General features: G+C 37.9%; 2 long non-coding RNA genes across 3 annotated transcripts in view, besides 2 other annotated features; both read left to right on the top strand.

Moving 5' to 3' along the window:
- Positions 1-1862, top strand: part of LOC105377604 (uncharacterized) — an 81735-nt gene extending 79873 nt beyond the window's left edge. Inside the window, exon 4 of one of the 2 annotated variants that reach the window (XR_939614.3) lies at positions 1619-1862. This is a non-coding gene — a long non-coding RNA (uncharacterized LOC105377604). Of the gene's footprint in view, positions 1-594; positions 1479-1618 lie in introns of those variants that run through there. The other variant, XR_939612.3, reaches the window with a different exon arrangement.
- The window catches only part of LINC02492 (long intergenic non-protein coding RNA 2492), a 139764-nt gene that overhangs the window by 106150 nt on the left and 13731 nt on the right, over positions 1-19883 (top strand). The window lies entirely within an intron of this gene.
- Positions 392-891: an enhancer, noted in NCBI's record as "H3K4me1 hESC enhancer chr4:188486755-188487254 (GRCh37/hg19 assembly coordinates)". NCBI's record gives its function as "activates a minimal SCP1, AML or CMV promoter by ChIP-STARR-seq in primed H9 embryonic stem cells {active_cell/tissue: H9 hESC(primed)}" and the evidence as "EXISTENCE:reporter gene assay evidence [ECO:0000049][PMID:30033119]".
- Positions 892-1393: an enhancer, noted in NCBI's record as "H3K4me1 hESC enhancer chr4:188486253-188486754 (GRCh37/hg19 assembly coordinates)". NCBI's record gives its function as "activates a minimal SCP1, AML or CMV promoter by ChIP-STARR-seq in primed H9 embryonic stem cells {active_cell/tissue: H9 hESC(primed)}" and the evidence as "EXISTENCE:reporter gene assay evidence [ECO:0000049][PMID:30033119]".

The raw sequence follows: 19883 nt of genomic DNA, 5'->3' as shown, positions 1-19883 counted from the left end.
TAAATATGACAATCATAATTATAAAAATAGAAAGATGTTACCTTTAAATCAGAAAGAGAAAATGTGAAGTTATCTTATTGAAAGGAGGAAAGAAGGGGGGTAGAAAGGTCTGAAGAAAGAGAAGAAATAAAAAAAAAGATGGCAGAAATAAGTTTTAATTAATTATTATTATTATTATTATTATTATTATTATTATTATTATTATTTTTGAGAGGGAGTCTTGCTCTGTTGCCCAGGCTGGAGTGCAGTGGTGCAATCTCAGCTCACTGCAACCTCCACCTCCCGGGTTCAAGCAATTCTCCCGCCTCACTTCCTGAGTAGCTGGGATTACAGGCATGCACCACCACGCCTGGTAATTTTTGTATTTTTAGTACAGACGGGGTTTCACCATGTTGGCCAGGCTGGTCTTGAACTCCTGATCTCAAGTGATCCCCCCTGCCTCGGCCCCCCAAAGTTTTGGGATTACAGGTGTGAGCCACCACACCTGGCCCTTAATTTAATAATAATTATAATTTACACCTAAATTGAAAATGTGAATAAAGATGTCAAAAATAAGATCTAATTTAATACTAATTACACAAATTAAAACCCAAGGTAAACAAAAGAACGTGACACCCTGAATTGGATGAAGAAATATCTTGTCTGGAAGAGAAACTGAAAACAGGAATACTCAGAAAGACTGAAAATAAGAGGATGGAGAAAATATGTCAAGCATTTTCTAAAATTCAACGAGTGCTGACAGACAGGTGTCAACACCGCAACAGAGCTGGGTCAAGGTCGGACGTATAATAGAACAGCAGCAGCAGCAGAGGTAGGAGGAAGGATGTAGCAGCAGCCGAAGGAGACACCGTGAGGCCAGGTCAGGGGCCCAGGAGCCTCCGCGTGGACAGCTTCAGCTCCATCCAAGCTGCCGGATTGGAGGGCGCCTGCCCCCAGCAGCAGGTGGCCTTAAAGATTCAGCTCTGAGAAACAAATGTGGAGGGGGTTTGTGGAGGGATTATTGTGGGGTGCGTGGGGCCCTCTGAGGTGATCTGCTGCAGAATAACTAATACCTATTGTAACAGAGGAGTATAGATTTATAAAATACATGACAAATGCTTAATAAAAAAGAAAAAAGTGAAATGAAAAATGAAGATCAGAGTGGTAGACAAAGGAAGAAAGGGGGAAGAGGAAGGGAGGAGGGAGGAGGAAAATGAAGACAAGAATAGGTTATAAATAAAGATAAAATGTGTCAAATGAATTTAAAAAGAATGTATTATAATCTGTACTTAATTTCTTGCTCAATCATCGGAAAGTGCCCATTTCATGCCCTGTACAGTTACCATAATTCCTTTTTTCTCCACATTCATTTTTGTTCTATTATATTTGTAGAAATGTAATCTTTCATGTTTAAAGTTCAATAATGAAAGTACCGTCTTGTAAAAAAAAACAAAAATAAAAATCAATAAAAAATAAAAATAAAATAAGTAAAACGCAAACATCCAGTGCTGTTCTGTTGTGACTGTGCGCTTTGCTTTGCCTATAAAATAGCTTTATCTCTGCTTTTAAAGAGCAACCGGATTGTGTTGCACGTTGGCCAAAATATTTGAATATTTAAATTTTAAAATTTTATTTATAGGTATATCTGAGATCTGAGATGATAGGCGACTCCATTCAAAGCAAAAGAAAACAAAACAAACAAAAATACTTTTATTGGATAAACAGCTGCCACCACCTGCTTCCTGTCATGGGGTCAGTTGAAGGAAAGAAACACAAACTTCTACTATGTTCAGCCTTTGTCTTACTTCTTCTGAAAGCTCCTAGGTAGTAGGCATTTTGCATGATGGACATTGCTCTTGGCAGAACTCACTCTTGCCTCATTTTGCAACAGCATCTGTAGCTGAGAGCCCAGAGAAGAAAAAATTCATGAAACTTTTTGTTTTCTGAGAGATATAACAGAGGAAAACAGACGTAAAAATTGATTCTACAAAGGTTGTCTACCAGAAGGGGATTCCTAGAGCATAGATTATCTTTCCTTGTTGTGAGAAATTTCCATTTGAATGCTGAAGGTGGAAGCTCATTCTGATATAAAACTTAAAATGTTAGTACAAGAAGCCCACTCACGTTGACATATATTATTCCCTATCATTTGTGTTACTACTTTAACATTATTTTAAAATAAACCTCTCATTTGGTATGTGGAAAAGATACGACCTCTATCTCATGTTGTCTTTCTGCAAAACTAACATCAAGGAAAATATTAGAAACTCTGTCTTGACTTTTTCATCATTGACTCTATTAATTGAATTTTCCTCTTTTAAGAGTCCTCAAGGCTGGGCGCGGTGGCTCACGCCTGTAATCCCAGCACTTTGGGAGGCCGAGGCAGGCAGATCACAAGGTCAGGAGATCGAGACCATCCTGGCTAACACGGTGAAACCCCATCTCTACTAAAAATACAAAAAAATTAGCTGGGCGTGGTGGTGGGCGCCTGTAGTCCCAGCTACTCGGGAGGCTGAGGGAGGAGAATGGCATGAACCCCGGAGGCGGAGCTGGCAGTGAGCCGAGATTAAGCCACTGCACTCCAGCCTGGGTGACAGAGCAAGACTCCGTCTCAAAAAAAAAGAGTCCTCAAATGTTTTCAGACTAGCAACTCTGGAATCATTATTTGTATTACTGGGAGTTATTAATACTTACTTTATAATATTGCATACAAGAATTAAGTTGCTCATCTAAAGTGAAACTTGAAAGCAAATTTAATTGCTAAGGGTTTTAATTTTTCAAAGGGAGCTGCTTCACAACCCTATCTCATGCTTGGGAGATGGATATTAAAGTGATATTTGATAAAGACAAATGGACACAGGGAAGGAGGTTTGTCAGTAATGCGGTGCTGGGCTCTGGCCTTTTTTAAATGAGTTAATGACTTTTGCTTCATGACCCATTTCTAATGGTAGCTTGGTCTTTTCAAAGAGGATGTCACTGTCATAGTTCAGCGATATTAAGGGATCACATCATTGTGGCACATTAAAAGCAAGTGACTCAGACTTAAATGTTAAATACCTCACAGAATAAAAGGCCACCAACTAGTTAAAGAAAGAAGTTATTTGCACACAATGGCTTCTAAAGATAGTTCTTAGTAAGAAAGTGTCTTGGTCCAATTCTAAAGCACAGTTACGATATCTAGGCTAAGAATTATGATATGCCCAGCTTTTCTCATTCAAATACCATCTCATTAGGGATCATATATTTTAATACACATGGTGTTTTATTTGTATAAAGGCAGTGTCTTTAACTCTTTATTCTCAAAGTACCGTTTTGCTTTAGTTTGGATTGTAAAACCATCTGATTTTGCTTTAGTTTGGATTTGCTTTAGTTTGGATTGTAAAACATCAGTGAGGAAATATGATCATTTTTCATGTATGAAAACAAAATATTCCTGTATGATCCAGGCTATAAGTCAAGTAGACAAAATCATTTCTTTGACTTTATAAAGTTATCTTTTGGATCTGGTGGGTCTAATGATAGACTAAGGATTCTGATCTAAGAATGAAAACCCTGCATTATCTAGCCCCATCACTGATGTGGATTCATGAATCATTTAACATCTCTCATCAAGGAGTTACTCTTCAAAAAATGTATTTTGCCTCTTCCTCAATTACAAAATACCCAACTCAATTAAGCTCATTCATTTAGTGTTTTTTAAAAATGTGATATTACACCGTGGGTTGTTATGGAGAAGTATAGAATTGTTCAAGTAGGTTCAACTGTTCAATAGATAAAATCACCATGTGCGCAATCTAATGAACAATTCATGGTAATAACTGAGAAACCCTAGGATTATTCTCATGCAGAATTTACAGGGAGAGAATGATGTTCACGGGTGAATGTGAGTCAGGCATGGCTTTGTGCAGGAAGGGTTTTTAACTGCTGGGAAATGTCACTCACTTCTCATCTCCTGCACTCGTTCTTAGTGGCTGCTCATTCACAGCAATTCCAGGTTGTGTAAAAGCTGCTTCAGATATGATGCTAAATATAAAGGTACAAATGAAATAATGGCAAGCAATAACTCACCCATGACCTAACACAGGGAACATAGCCGTCACGTCTTCTCCGGCATGCTCAGCCCTTGCATACCTTTCATCTGTCATTTGAGTTTAACACGTGCCCTCTTTTTAGGTCAAATTTCTCCTTTTTTTCCTAGCTATCCACAATGTCTCTAATATTTCTAGCTCTGTATCAAGATAGACATAAGTTAGAATTCTGATTCTGTTACTTATTTTCTATGAGCAGACTTGTACATTACAAATTGTATTTTGGCAACAGCAGGCAGAAGACAATAAGGGAGGGAGAGATCTGGAGAGAGAAAGAACAATTTTGAGATCATTACCAAACCCTAGGTAAGAGCTTAAGAGGATTTGAACTTAGACACAAAGAATAAAGTGGAGATTGACCCAGTGAATATTGATGAGAAGCCTACCTACGTTTGGTGAACACTTACATGTGAAGTGAGCCCAGTGAGGCTGTAGGAGCTCCACAAGCCTCAGGAACCTCCATGCTTGCCATGTGCAGGCTGGGAGCATGCAGCTTCCACTCTGTAGTCCGAGGGGGCAAGAACTGCTCCATCTCTCCCACAGTGTGTGTGTGTGTTTACGCACACGTGTGTCTGTGTTCCTACCAGCAGGAAACAGCAAGAGAAGACTAGGCTCCCTTTTTAAAGAACAGGTATAGTAAGTTGTATGCATTACTGTCGCTGACTTCAAGGGGAGAAATGGATGTGATCTTTATTTGAGTCCATCTGAAATGCAGGGTTTTATTAATGAGGAAGAAGTAGAGGACAGATACCGAAAATAAGTCTCTGTTGTGAGAAGAAACGGCAATTCCCCTGACCCCCAGCCGCCCAGCAGAGCAGAAGAATGAAAAAAAACTTGGATGTTTTTTTATGTCCTATTGGCCAACAGTAGATGAATCTATAGATAGAGATCCACACGTTTACACATATACACAGGCATATATAGGTAAACACAGGTGTATATGTGTGTGTTTGTGTGTGTGAGTTTGGGGACAACACTGTCTCAGCAAACAGCCCTACACCCTACCCTCATACCGACTTGAATCACACTTTTGGAGGAAGCTATAAAAGAAGCCAAGCGTTGGCTGGGCACGGTGGCTCACACCTGTAATCCCAGCACTTTGGGAGGCCGAGGCGGGCGGATCACGAGGTCAGGAGATCGAGACCATCCTGGCTAACAGGGTGAAACCCCGTCTCTACTAAAAATACAAAAAAATTAGCCGGGCGTGGTGGGGGGCGCCTGTGGTCCCAGCTATTCGGGAGGCTGAGGCAGGAGAATGGCGGGAACCCGGGAGGTGGAGTTTGCAGTGAGCCGAGATCGCACCCCTGCACTCCAGCCTGGGCGACAGAGCGAGACTCCGTCTCAAAGAAAAAAAAAAAAAGAAGCCAAGCGTTTAGGTTGTCTGACAACCACCCAGTGAGAAAGATAATTCTCAAACCAAATGATGCTTAAATTCTCTTTGATTTCAGCTGTAATGTTATTTTCTTTAAGTTGGGGTAGAAATGGAAAGATCTGGGAAGGAGCACAGAACTGCCAGGGTGTTACTAGAAACATCAAGTGCTCCTAAAACAGTAATAAGTAATATTATTTCAATCATTAAATTATTATTGAAGATATACTTACTTATATGTCTTAAAATTTTTTCGAGATATGCCTTTTATCCTTTCACAGTTCTTATGCTGCCCTCACTATCATTCGAAAATGCAATTTTCAAACTCATAATTAATATGCTAAATGTTCCACAAGTAAAATTATAATCTGCCAATTTTCTATTTGCAAAAATCAATTTCATACCTATTGAAACACCGGAATAAACCAAGAGCTCTTATCTGTAGCTGTATCCTGTTGTATATCCTAAGATTGAGTGTTACTGTTCTAGAATTTTATGGCTTTGTTGTTTTTTGAAAAACAAATCAAATTTAGTGCTTTGAGCCATTTCCTGTACCAGGGATTATGAAGTGTGAAAAAGAAAATAGGTTTAGTGAATCTCTACCGTTAGAATTCAGCATACTTGGGGAAGTAGCTGAGACACGTAAGCTTAGATATTTCAAGGTAGATGTATTTGGAAATTATAGTGAAGCTTTAAGTCTTAGGTGGCAGAGATAATAACCAGACAGGTCTCTTGTAACATTTTTTTTTTTTCTGGGAGATAAGAATGTTAATGAGGTCAGAGAGCAGTTCAACAATGGCATAATAAGTCATGCAGATTTTACACCGAAGCAAAGATGAAAAGGAGTGTAAGAAAGGAAGTAAGATTTTAACCTCTGGGTTTGAAAGGACTTCGCCGTCACTCACACTGGGGTTACCCATTTTAGTGTAAATAGCAGGACCAATAGCACTTGATTCTGCAGCTTCTGTTAGTACTGGTATTAAATTATCGCATTTTAAACGTCAGCAATTGCATATAAATGCATGCTCTGGGTCTCGTTGGTACAAATGGTCTCAGAAAGTTTATGACATGCTATGGGGAGGAAAAGAGAAGACTTATGTTGGCTTATAGTATCCACAGTTCTAAAGCAGAATGACTTTGTCAGCACAGAAATGCTTCTTCATTGTCATCAAGACTCTTGTGGCTTTTATAGCTGTTGCGTTTATGGATTGTAAGAACAGAAAGTCATCATATTCAGAATTTACCAAGTAATCAGTGAGACCAGGCAAACATTTTACATTATCATTTTAAAAGGCAATCTGGGGGGCTCATTGTAAGATATGTCTATTTTAAAATTATCTGGAGAATTTTGGCCAGTAATTATATTTTATGCTTCAAATATATAGTTCTCTTTTACCTATTTACCAATACAAATTTGGGATCAGATTATGAGTTCCTTGATAAGGAAGCATTTTATAATGATTAAATGTTATCTGGAGGAGAATTTCTACCATTTTGGAGTCGGTGTTAGAGGAAGCCAGTGGTGCACAGTCAGAGGGCAGGGCCTGGCCCCGTGTCCTCCTGCACACAGGAAAGTGTTTGACTCAGGACCCTCTGACAATTTAGACTTTCTCTCTTCAAGATTAAACAGTGGTTGAATTCATAACACCCAAGGACTCCTTTGATCTTACATATGATCAGAACAGGTAAATTAAGTGGAAAAACAAATAACAGTGAAGTGGAATGCTTGAAAAAATATATAGCAAATATTATGTAGCTATAAAAAGAAATAAAGTACTGATACATGTTACAACATGGTGAACCTCAAATACATTATGTTAAGCGAAATAGGCCAGCTACAAAACACTACATATTGTATAATTCCATTCATGTGAATACGTCCAGAACAAGCAAGTCTATAGAGACAGAAAGTAAATGAGGGGCTCCCCAGGGCTGGGGGAATTTCTCAAGGGGTAATGGCTAAGGGACCCAAGAGAGGTCCTTTTGGGGGTAGTGAAAAGATTCTAAAATTGATCATGGCAATAGATGCATAACTCTGTGTATACAGTAAAAGCCATTGAACTGTGTTCTTAAATGGGTGAATTGTGTGTTCTGTGAATTACATCTCAATAAAGCTGTTAAAAAATCACGTGGATTTAAGTGCCAAGGATAGATACTGGAAGAATGGAAATGGTCCCTTTTTACTGTGATGCCAGCCTCTGGTTTAAAGTGACTGGATTGTCTTTATTAATGAAGATGACCATTAGCATAGGAAATGCAAAATAAGTAGATTCATCTCAGTTACTTTCTTACTGCCTCCTACCAACTTTTTGCAGCACTTTTACCTGCTATGAGTGTTGCTGTTCTCACTAGATCTCATCAGACAATGAAGTCTCTATTGCAGGTCTCTTACATTCTATGCTTCTGCTTCAGCCATACCCACCCATCCAGCTATCAGCTGGACTCTATGTCCACAATGAGTATCAGTAATAAAAGCTAATCTGGAGAGAAGGTGACTCACAGCTAAGCAATAGTAAGAAATGTATTTGCATAACATACGCATCATCTAATTTCATTCTTACAGTTCTGTGACATGATTAGAGAAGGTATTATTATCCCCAGTTCACAGAATAAGGAATCAAGGACCAGGAAAGTTAAGTGTTTTCTCTAATGTCTAATTGCTATTACTTGCAAATCCTAGATCAGAATGTAGTACTATCTGGTATCAAAAACCATGCTCTTTCTTTCACATTATGCTGACTCTTTTACCAAAATGATAACCCTTTTGAAATGCTCTGTTCTTTTAAAATAGAGTTGTTATGTAAAACCTCCCAGCGAAAGAAATAGTCCAGAAAGCTTGAAGAGAAACTGAAATTTGAAAAATCTACCTAAAAAGGTGATAAAGGATTTTCAGTTTTGCAAAAAACGCAATACAGAGTGTCTTTGGAAAGAAAGTTCTCATATGGATTTAAAATATGATTCAATTTACAGAAGTCAGAGGTGATTGCTATGTTAAAATATGAAATAGCCTAAATTTAAGTCCTAGTTCTTAACCACCTGAGTAAATTGTGAAGCCCGCAGGAGCTTCAATTTTCTCAATAATAAAACATGAGTTTAGTTATATTTCATTCATTCATTCAACAAATATATGCCCAGTTGTTCTTCCAGATGGCATGAATCCAACAGTGAAGAAATCAGAATACGTTGCTTTTGTGAGGGGCAGCTGCTGATTTTCTCTGAGCTCCGTTTCCAGCCTTCACATGCTCTGCTATTCATCACAGGGTAAATTCTGACTATAGGAGGTACTGACAGAAGATTAGGGAAGAACAGGTATGGAAAAACCAAAGTATTTCTCCCAGTCACCCACCTTCAGTGAACCCTGCTTCTGTCAGGAAACCCGCCGTGATTGTCCATGTGGAAACCTTACCTCTTTCCATTGTGTCTGTAGCCGCAGGAGCAGTAACAGCTTCCCAAGCATGGCTCATGTCTGGTTAACTCATGATCCCCTTTCTAATAAAAATATACCTGTAGATCAAAAATCTTGACAAACCCTAAGCATGAGAAACACTAAGAAAAACATATCAAGGCACATTATAATAAGATTGTTGAAAATACATTAAGAGAAACTCTTAAATGCAGTCAGAGATAAAGAGAAACAAAAATGAGAAATCCTGCTAACTTTTTATCACAAATAATGAAAGCAAGACTGTGCCAAAAAGCAACAAGAGCAAAAGTCCCTCCCAACCTAGAATTCTGTATCCAGCAAAAATATCTTTCTAAATTGAAACCATTTACTCTTATGTCATTATTATGCATTGCATGCCTATGTCAAAATATCTCATGTACCCCATAAATATTTATACCTACTATGTATCCATAAAATTAAAAAGTAAATAAAAACATCTACTTGTGTGTTATTCAAAATTTTGATTCTTTTATATTTCAAGCATAAAATTGGAGCATACACAATTTTTAATTCTAGTTGGGGAAGAAAAACCAGAAGAAACATATTGGTGATTATTGGAGCAACTTCAATATTCTTTAGCTATTTACCCCTATTTTCTCAAAGAGTCCTGGACATTTGACCATTTCATCTCTTCATGGAGGCGCTTTTAGTACATTGTAACCTTGGCATTCCCATAGTTCTTGTGTGGTACTAGGTTGTCAACACTAGATATATTAGCTTTTTGAAGGCCTTTGATGTTTTCCTGGCTGTGTAGGTACAATATTTTGGTGCTTTTTCGTTGGATAGCTTTCATTTTACTCAAGTAGAGATCTGATTAATTTCAAGTTCGGCATTTAATGTCCAGTGCAAACTACAACTTTGGTTCCATCTGGGACACTGACAGCTTGGAGAGTTTCTGTGTTTTTGGAAAGAACTTAAGATCAGAAAAGCAAAATGGATAGTCTCAAAGACTTAACAGAGACACAAGTAAAAATTTTAAAATCACAAATTGGTCAACATTCAAAAAGAAAAACAAATTTTTGTTAGAGTTCTTATTTAATTTTTCTGTTGTTGTAAAGTTGAAGACTACTCGTACATATAAATACATTGAGATTTGTTTGTGAAACACAATAGTATTTCCATCAATCTTGGCATATTTCTTCCTGGAATTTTACTATTATAACACCTTAAAAAATAAAGGCTGCAGTTTTAGATACAACACCTCACAATTTTGGCAATATTTGACACTATGTATCATGTTTTCAAGGAATTTGTGAATAGGAAAAGATTAACCTTGATAACACAAAGATTTTCAATATGAATGGTCATGCTAGGTCAATTGGTGTATCAGACAACATTGGTTTATAGCAGAGTGAGCACCTGTCACAAATCCCCATGCTAAGTGCTGTGAGGAGCACTGTTGGGCACTAAAGGCTCAAATTTCCCTGTGTATATTAGAGTTTGTATCCTAGTATATTTAAGAAAGAATATTCTAGGTAAAAAAAATGAGTACTGTGGGGAGAGAAGAGGCAAAGAGAGATTAAGTGCAAAGTGATTTAAAACTAATTCTGCTTTCTTTTAACTTTTGGATTTGGGGCTTAAATCATTAGACCAAAAGAACACGGATCAAGTCGTTGTAACAAATTTAATTTGCTTCTTTGATGTCTCCTCAGAGGGCTAAATGTTTATTGACTTCTTGAAAAATGCTATGTGTCTTGCCAGACTTAGCTTACAAGTTTGGTTAAAGAGAGACTGACATGAGCATAAAGGAAGGGACATTGAAAGAGGCAGAGATGAAGGAAGAAATTGTAACTTACTCCTTTTATCCCACCCATCAAAGGAAAGACAAGTTGACAGTAAGTTTTCTTAAAAAAAAATTAACTGCTCTATAGTCATTTACATTCTTGATAATTTTCAGATAGTTTTAGTTGATACTTTAAATATTAAATAAAAATTGTTTGCTTATTTACCTGTATGAATATGTGCTGAAGATACTGAGTGAAGAAATTTGTTGGATTCCAAGTATTTTTCCTTAAAGGAAATATTTCAATGAGCAGAATAAATGTAAGTAAATATATCATTGCAAAATCATTTATATTATTTCAGAGAATATGGAAATTGAGCCTACTGTGTTTTTATTAGTGTGAAGCAGAGCATTAAAAATTTTCCTCTTCAGCCATTTGGTTCATCAGTTTATTCAGTGACATGTGTACTATATCTTGAGACTGATTATGACTCATATATTTACTTCTTTTCTGTAGACCTCCCCTGTGGACAGTATTTACTCTTTGGAGACAAAAGTTTAGCATTCAGTCTGTACATACTAAAAACATGATTTCTACAGAGGTCCTGGAAATAGAAAAGGCCACAATTTTGAGATTAGTTACCTTTATTATTACCTGTTGCCTCCCCCCACCCCAAATGCACAGGCACATGCACACCAAACTCAATGACTTCAAACTATAATCACTCACTATTTCTTACAAGTTCCCAGGGTGGATGGATCCAGGCAGGACAGGATCAGAAGTTGCAGTCTTAATTGCACCAACTCACGCATGTCACCAGCCGAGTGTAAGCCGTCTGGGTTGGGTTGGGGTCCTTGGGTGTGGCTCTGTCCCACTTGTCTTTTATCTTCCTCCTGAGACCCCCAAAAATGGCTGAGGCCGAGACACAGAAGGGCAAGCAGAGGTACTGTGAACCTTGTGAAGCCCATACTGTCATCTCACCTCATCCTATTGGCTAAAGCAAGTCTGAATCCTGGACCCAGAGTCACCTATTGTGGAAAGAATAGCAGACACACGTGGCAAGACAAGGACACAGACAAGGATGACTGAATGGAGTGATTGATGCGGTCTATGGAATGTGTGCTGCAAATGGAAGCATCTCTAAGGCACATTTGAGAAAGTATCAGCCATGAATAGTCCTCTAAGATTAAAAAATCTACTTCCCAAACCTTTGTAACTAGATCCCAGCACTCAAGACCTTCGCTGGGCATGTCTTTGTTTTTTGTCTCTTTTTTTTCGTGCCAACTTTGGAAACAGAAATGTCCTATAAGTGGACTAGTCACAATATTGTATATGCCTACAGCATAGAGTTATGGGGGATCCTATTTGAACGCTGCATTTTGTCACTGTATCATGAATCTATGCATCTTATGTCCCAGTCACAATACTACCATCATTTTGATGCTACTCTGTTAACTCACTTTACCAATTCTGCTGCAAATAGGAAGATTGAAACAGACCCGGCTGGGCGTGGTGGCTCACGTCTGTAATCCCCGCACTTTGGGAGGCTGAGGTGCATGGATCACCTGATGTCAGGTGTTCGAGACCAGTCTGGCCAACATGGTGAAACCCCGTCTCTACTAAAAACACAATAATTAGCCAGGCGTGGTGGAGGACGCCTGTAGTCCCAGCTACTTGGGAGACTGAGGCTGGAGAATCGTTTGAACCCGGGAGGCGGAGGTTGCAGTGAGCCGAGATTACGCCATTGCACTCTAGTCTGGGCAACAGAGCGAGACTCCGTCAACAAACAAACAAACAAAACCACAGCAACAACAACAAAACCCCAAAAAACAGACCTAACAGTCCCGTAGACAGTTGTTTTTGGATAAACGTAGAAATCGACCATTCTGGTCTTAAAGCTTGAAACTATCTGGTTCTATAAGTAGTCATTTGTTTTCTATACATTTCCAACAATTCATTGTTTGTTCTATTGATCTAAAGTTCCTAATATACCTTTGTGAAGCCTCCAAAAATTGATAGAGGACATCAGCCATTTAAAATTTTGTTGGTTTTCCTTACCTCTGATGATCTAGAGAGCTATGAGAGCTTTAAGGTTCCTGGCAAAAAAACTGCATAAAAGATTTTTTATAACTTCTGAACAGAAATAGTACATTATTTATTATTTGAAAAAGTAGGTGAGAGTAAAAATGTTTCAATGGTATTTATTTCCAAGGTAATTCAATACAGTCAATAATTTGAGTTGGTTTCAGATCTTTTCTTTTAATGAGGAAAACCTGTTACACATGCAAATTTAATGTTCAGGAAATATTGGCCTTTTCCTTAAGGAAATTATAGTGATTGGGATTTTCCTCAAACTATTGTAGTTGTGTTTATCATTATTACCATTAAGTGACATTCATTTGGATGAAGCAATAATAGTATTTAAAACATGTGAGACTTTGTAGTGATTTCTGATCCTAAGCTGTTTATCACTGGTGGGCCTTCATGTGTGTACCTGGAAACAAGATATGCACCAGTGTTGCCCTGCTTTGAAAATGTTGGTGGTCGGCACTGCATCGAGAAACCAATCTTGGAAAAGTGTGATGATGCTCTTTTAAAATAGCTGAAAATAAATTGCTGTGTGCTTTTCCTTACTTTATCCCTGTTTTGTTGTATAGTATTTAAGTGAAAGGAGATGATTAATTCTTATACTGAATTTCCAAAACTGATATTTGCATTTACCATTTTTTAAATGACATTTTTTCCAAAACTGATATTTGCATTTACCATTTTTTTTAAAATGACAACAAGAAACATTAGTTGTCTTACTTTGAAAAGTTTGGCATAGAACCTGTCACGTTTTGATGCTTTTGGTCACAGTTCTGTCACTAGAATCCTAGCAATTATGCAATGAGTAACCTAACTACTTTAACACAGTGGTTTGAAGCGCTGCAGGCAGTAACCCGCAAATGCCAAATCACAGTGTTTTAGTTTGTAACATGTTAGAGGGAATGATAGGACTTTCTGTAGTATAAACATCCTATTAACTAACGCTTGTGCTGTTAAGTAACAGGGCTTTGACTCTTGGGTTGAAGAAGGCACCAATTCCTGCTAAATTTTGAGCATTGACAGCAGTCAAAGGTTTCTCTTCAGACTCTGGAGAAGGTGACGATCACAAGGAACTGTTTCGTGAGACACAGGCCAGAAATTAAAACTACTTAATCCCTCTAGGCCCAGGGATTATTGTGGAAGAGGTAGTCATGTGAGATTGTCAGGGCTGATTTTTGAGGCATAGGATTAGTTCAGAGTTTTTCTATACATTAAACAACATTAATATCAAAAGCTCATTGATACAAGAATAGTGTCTGGACCCATGTCTTGGAATAACAGTTTTCTTGAAGCATTGATCTGCTGTTTAATAGAAAATTGGAAAAAGGTTACAAAAAGTTTATAGAAATTGGCCAGGCACAGTGGCTCATGCCTGTAGTCCCACCACTTTGGGAGGCCGAGGCTGGTGGATCACGAGGTTAGGAGTTCAAGACCAGCCTGGCCAAGATGGTGAAACCCCGTCTCTACCAAAAATATAAAAATTAGCCGGGCATGGTGGCGGGTGCTTGTAGTCCCAGGTACTCGGGAGGCTGAGGCAGAGAATTGCTTGATCCCGGGCGGTGGAGGTTGCAGTGAGCTGAGATGGTGCCATTGCACTCCAGCCTGGGTGACAGAGTGAGACTCTGTCTCAAAAAAAAAAAAAAAAAGTTTACAGAAATCTGTACCTTATAGTCAAAGTGGTTAAATTAGATAGATTTGTTTATAATATTTTATTAAAATTAGCTTTAACATTAATACCATACCATTCAAAGGAAAATTTTGGTTTTTTTAAACAAAATATGTAATATTGAGAGATAAAAGATTTTGTTTACTTTTTGAGTAAATTGCAGAGAGAAAAGGGAGTGGGGAGAGACAGATTCAGTTGGCCTCATGCTGTCTTTATTAGGTCTTTGTTTGGGAAACAGAGTCTCTATCAAAACGTAAATGTTTTTGATTTATCACTTTGGCTAAATGAAGGACTATTTTATAGTGACTTGTGATCCTATTTTGTGATATTAAGTGTCTTAAAACTTTGATATTTGGTAAACTTTCTAGGAGTAAAATTTCAAGTTCTGAATTCAGTCTTTTTGTCCTCAAACTAACTTTTCTAGATATTAGGTTCCCTGACATGCAAGACAGACATAATAGGCTTATTCATTGTGTTAGAATTATGCAGGAAGCATTGTCAAATCTGAGGTGGTGTTTATCTTCCTTTGGGTTATATTTATATAAATGTGGTGATAATATGTGTTCCAGGATTGTATGAGATTCTTAAAATTCTGGTATTTTTAAATATATGTTGTCAGTAATAATTATAATTATTAAGTTGTTGTATGCCACAGAAATAACCAAATTTTCTTGTCAACTGTGTCTCTAACTATGGCTGTCTCAAGACTTTTTGTTATCCACAATTGTTGTTTTGCTTTGATCCTTCTCAAAAAGTGACTTACAATCAGCCACAGTCCAAACATTGCTTCTTTGGAAGAGTTCATAAAAAGGACTCTTGAATGGAAGTTTCTGGTAACTTTGGAGATTGTGCCATTGGATTAGAGAGAAAACTTCTAGGCCCCTAATTGAAAGGCTGTTGTATAAAGATTGCCACTAATCCAATATGAAGCAGAACAGGAGCTGATTGCATAGACTGAACTAATAAGGACTGAGATAATCTTTTATGATTTTTATGTTTGAAATATTGCTGTTTGTTTTTGTTTTGTTTTTCAGAGTCTGAATAATTTTTTCCTTTTGAGATATTTACAGGCTTTAAGTATGCTTTAAGTGTACCGAATAGAGTATACTTTTATAAACAGAAATTGAGGCCTATTTCTCTCTCTGCTCAATTTCTTCATAATTTGTAAACTATTTGTGAATATTCTTAACTCATGGCAATGTGTTTGTTTGCATAATAACAACATGTTTGCTTTTATAATGGACCCCCCGACCCCGCCCGGTTGGAGGAACTGGTTATTTCCCAGGGCTTTGACTGAAATGACCTTGTCAGAGGCTCCAGCAAAGCAAGTCTAGGAATGCCTATGTAGACAATGATCTTGTTGCATTCTGTGTGAGTAATCAGGCTAGTATATGGGACTGAAGCTTATTTTGCAGGTAGATTGGTCCTGCTGTGATTTTGAAACCATCCCCAAGAGTCCCATAGACAGTTGCTTCTGGATAAACATAGAAATGGGCCCTTCTGCTGTTAAGGCTTGAACCTTACATTGGTTTTATCTGAATTCCTTCCTCAAGAAATGACCTTCAGGCCTCTTACAAAAAGCATCAAAGAACCCAGATCACCACACCAGATGCCATACCCCTCATTCACCAGGATCACTTCCTTGCCCCTCCCGAGTTCCTGTTTTCTTACACATTGTTACATTCTTTCCTGCTATATAAACCCCTGCTGCATCACCAAATTAAAGCCTTCTTCCTTGGCAACACTGTTGTCTCAGCGATTGGCTTTCTGTCTGGGGAGCAGCAGGACCCAGACCAAATCACTGGTGTTTCAGTAACAATTTGTCTCTGGTGGATGTGGGGGGGCTGGAGAGAGAAATACTGTGTTTCAGAACAAAACTCTAATATGAGATTAACCTTTGATTCCTGAGTGGCCATGTGGTCACCCATGGTATGGAGCTGCCCATGACACCCCTCCTCAGCAGGAAGCAGCCAGGAAGATCAACAACCAGGTTCCCCATGATTGAGGAATTGATAAATAGAAAGGGAGGCCTGAAACTGATCCAGGAGTCCCATAGACAATCATGTTTGGATAAATATAGAAATTGATCGTTCCGGTTTTTTTTTTTATTTGATGGAGTCTCACTCTATTGCCCAGGCTGGAGTGCAATGGCACAATCTCAGCTCACTACGACCTCCGCCTCCCGGGTTTAAGCGATTCTCCTGCATCAGCCTCCTGAGTACCGGTGTGCACCATCACGCCTGGCTACTTTTTGTATTTTTAGTAGAGACGGGGTTTCACTATGTTGGCCAGGCTGGTCTTGAACTCCTACCTTCTGATCCACCTGCCTCGGACCCCCAAAGTGCTGGGATTACAGGCATGAGCCACCACGCCCAGCCGTGGGCCACTGTGACCAGCCAATCCTTCTGGTCTTAAAGCTTGAAACTTACATTTGTTTTATCTGAGTTCCTTCCTTGGGAAATGACCCTTCAGACCTCTCAAAAAAAGTATCAAAGAACTGAAACTCACTAGATCATCACATCCAGACAATGAGATGCCAGATCCCTCATTCATCATGATTGCTTCCTTTCCCCTCCCTAGTTCCTGTTTTCTTACACGTTGTTACAATCCTTTCCTGCTATATAAACTCCTAGTTTGAGTAGGTCCCAGAGATAGATTTGAGACTGAGCTGCCATCTCTTGGCCTGCAGCACCTGATTAGAGCTTCTTCCTTGGCGATACTCATCACCCTAGTCGTTGGCCTTATGTGTTGGGAGCAGCGGGGACCTAGACCAAACCCCTGGTGTTTCAGTAACAATATGACAAAAATCTCATCTAAAGAACAGTCTTCTTTATGGCCATCCCTTCCTTCACCTTCCGATTCTTCTTGGAAGCCTTGTTAAAGAAAAGCAGTAAAGATTTGGGAATTAGAAAGCAAAAGAGAAATTTTTTTCTTAATAGGATTCATGGAATGGAGGAAGGACAAAAATACCACAAAGGAAGGGAGGTTTCCAGAAGAAGTTGCCCTTTCATTTGTGTTTCATTTCCTTTCCCAGATTTAGCTTGTGCCACATACAATTTAAAGGTACTCCTTTGCCAATGTAATGTTTAGACCTGTTACTTCGCATCCTCTCTGAATAAATAGCAGTTGTTAGAAAAAGACTTAACTCAAAAGCTGTAGGGGAGACCCTAGTTCTATGTTATTCACAAATGCTCTGCACTCATTGTGCTAATAGAAAGTTGTAAGAATCCTATTAAATACATATATTTTTACCCTATATTTTTATGTATTTATTCATAAAATGGAAACTAAAGCTGTGCATACAACAGCAAAAACAATATTTTGGTGCTGATTATTGCTTCCTAGACTTTAAAAATTTTCTACTGTAATAATTTTCAATAGATTAAAATATCATCATCTATGACAGCCACACAGTTTTATATTTAATTTGTTTTTAAGCAACCAGAAATTAGTATTAAAGTTTTGGGTTTTTTCAATTATAAAAATAAGGAAATAACATGATCAATCTAGTTAGCGATATTTCTTGACAGTTAGGTTTTTTTTTTTCCTTTTTAAATCATGTATCTTAAAATTACTGACTTTGGAACAGTAGGGGAACGTGAATTAGAAAGTTTTATAAAAATTTCAAAAAATGTTAGCATTAAAGTCATGGTTTTATGTTTGTAATTCATTCAAAAAGTAGTGTTTTCTGCTTATACCCACAGAAATCATCTCTGAATAATAAATAATCTTTACAGTTTTCAAAGAACTTTCAGCTGCATTTCACTGAGGTTCAAAGAGGTGACTTGTTCAAAGTTACCTAAAAAATAGGATGTGGAGCCCACATTTGCATCTGATTTTAGACCTCATGTTCTAAAAAAATGGTGTACAAACTCCATAACCTTGCAAAACCTCTCCATTCTTGTGATTTCCTCTCAAATTTTTATAAACTGAGGTTATGCCGCATACACAGCAAGATTTTCCTCAGATGTTATAGATGACATGTTCTGTCTTTACAACTAAATTGGCACTTCATTACAGGTCAAGATCTCATGTGCAGGCTGTTACTTTAGTATCTCTCTTCTGTACCCCAAAGCCTTTAACGTCTTCAAGCTTATCATCGGCTCAATAACATTTGGTGACTGAATATAAAGAAATGAATCATCATTCATGTAACTTACAGCATTTCAAAGTTCAAGCTAATTTGAAGTTTCTTTGATTTAGTACAGAGGACTTAACATGTGTGGGTACATGTTTCTAAATCATCAAGGATCTTGTAACAATAAATGGTACTGAGTTTTCAGAATATGTGAGAGTTTGATCTAAGGAGGGTTTTCAGAATTTTGTTGAATCGTTATCTCCCCTGAGGCTTAAGTTAATGCTTTCTGTTCCCATTCACTAAAGTTCCTAAATCTGCTTCTTAAAAAATAAATTTATGTTTTTCTGCTCTGAATGTTGAAAGGCTTCCAATAGGTCCTGAAAGCACAGTATTTCATTTCCTGGAGTTTCAATGAACTTTTTTTTTCTTAATAGCTCCGTGAAACTGGAGAATAATTACTTTTTCAGTTAATGTTAAACTGATGGCATTTTTAAACGAGAAGCTGGCAGCAAATATTATGTCAAGCTATAGTGCATTAAAGAGTGGTTTGGCCACTTTGCAACTCACCTCTGAAATATCAGACTTCCTTTGTCGAGCCAAGTACAGCATTAAGAAATCACACCGTAGAGGTGGAGGGGATGCTGGGATTTTTTGCTCCAGGCATAGAGTCTGTTTCTCTGCACACTACTAAGTGAGCCTGACTTTCCAATCCTTTTTACAACCCGGCAGTTCTTTTGCAAAGATCCGAAGTTCCATTTACTCACAGGCTAACAAATATGTAGATATAAATAGGTTAACATTAATAAGTCATTTAAATGCTTTACTGTTTCTCTGGTTTGTTTAAAAATTGGGGCAAATTCAGGATCTTTCCCCATACCTTTTGCAATGCCTTAAGAAGACAGGAAGGTAGTATTTTCCAGCAGTAACTCAGGCATCAGTGCGTGCTATACTGATAACTGAAATAAACTGTAGCAGAACCAACCCTTTCACTTAAACTTAACAGATATTTCAATCTATCGGGACACTTCGGAAAATATACTTTCTTGAGAGCAAAGCTCTGTATTCCATGCTTTGAAAGATATTAAGTAAAGATGAAACAATTGAGGTTACAACAACTACATAAATAACTATATTTAATATATAGTAGAAAGTATTAAATTTCATAATAGATGTACAGATAAAAGGCTCTGTATGTGGAAAAGAAAAAGATGGCTTCCTCTTCGAAGGGTTTAGGAGATGGTGAGGGAGGGATGAGGACAGAGTCAGAAGGCCTGGTTCAGAATTTGTTTTCACATGGCTAGAGCAGAGGGTTTCTCCCAGAGACAGACACACAGGAGACAAACTGTGCAGAGAGAGAGAGAGAGAGATCAATTCAAAGCCATAAATCTATAGTTAGTGATCAAGCTTGGGGTCACAGAGTTGGGAGATCAGAGCTGGGAAGATCAA

Source organism: Homo sapiens, chromosome 4, assembly GCF_000001405.40.
Source record: "Homo sapiens chromosome 4, GRCh38.p14 Primary Assembly".
Lineage (NCBI taxonomy): Eukaryota > Metazoa > Chordata > Mammalia > Primates > Hominidae > Homo > Homo sapiens.
This window is presented reverse-complemented; position numbering and strand designations above follow the sequence as displayed.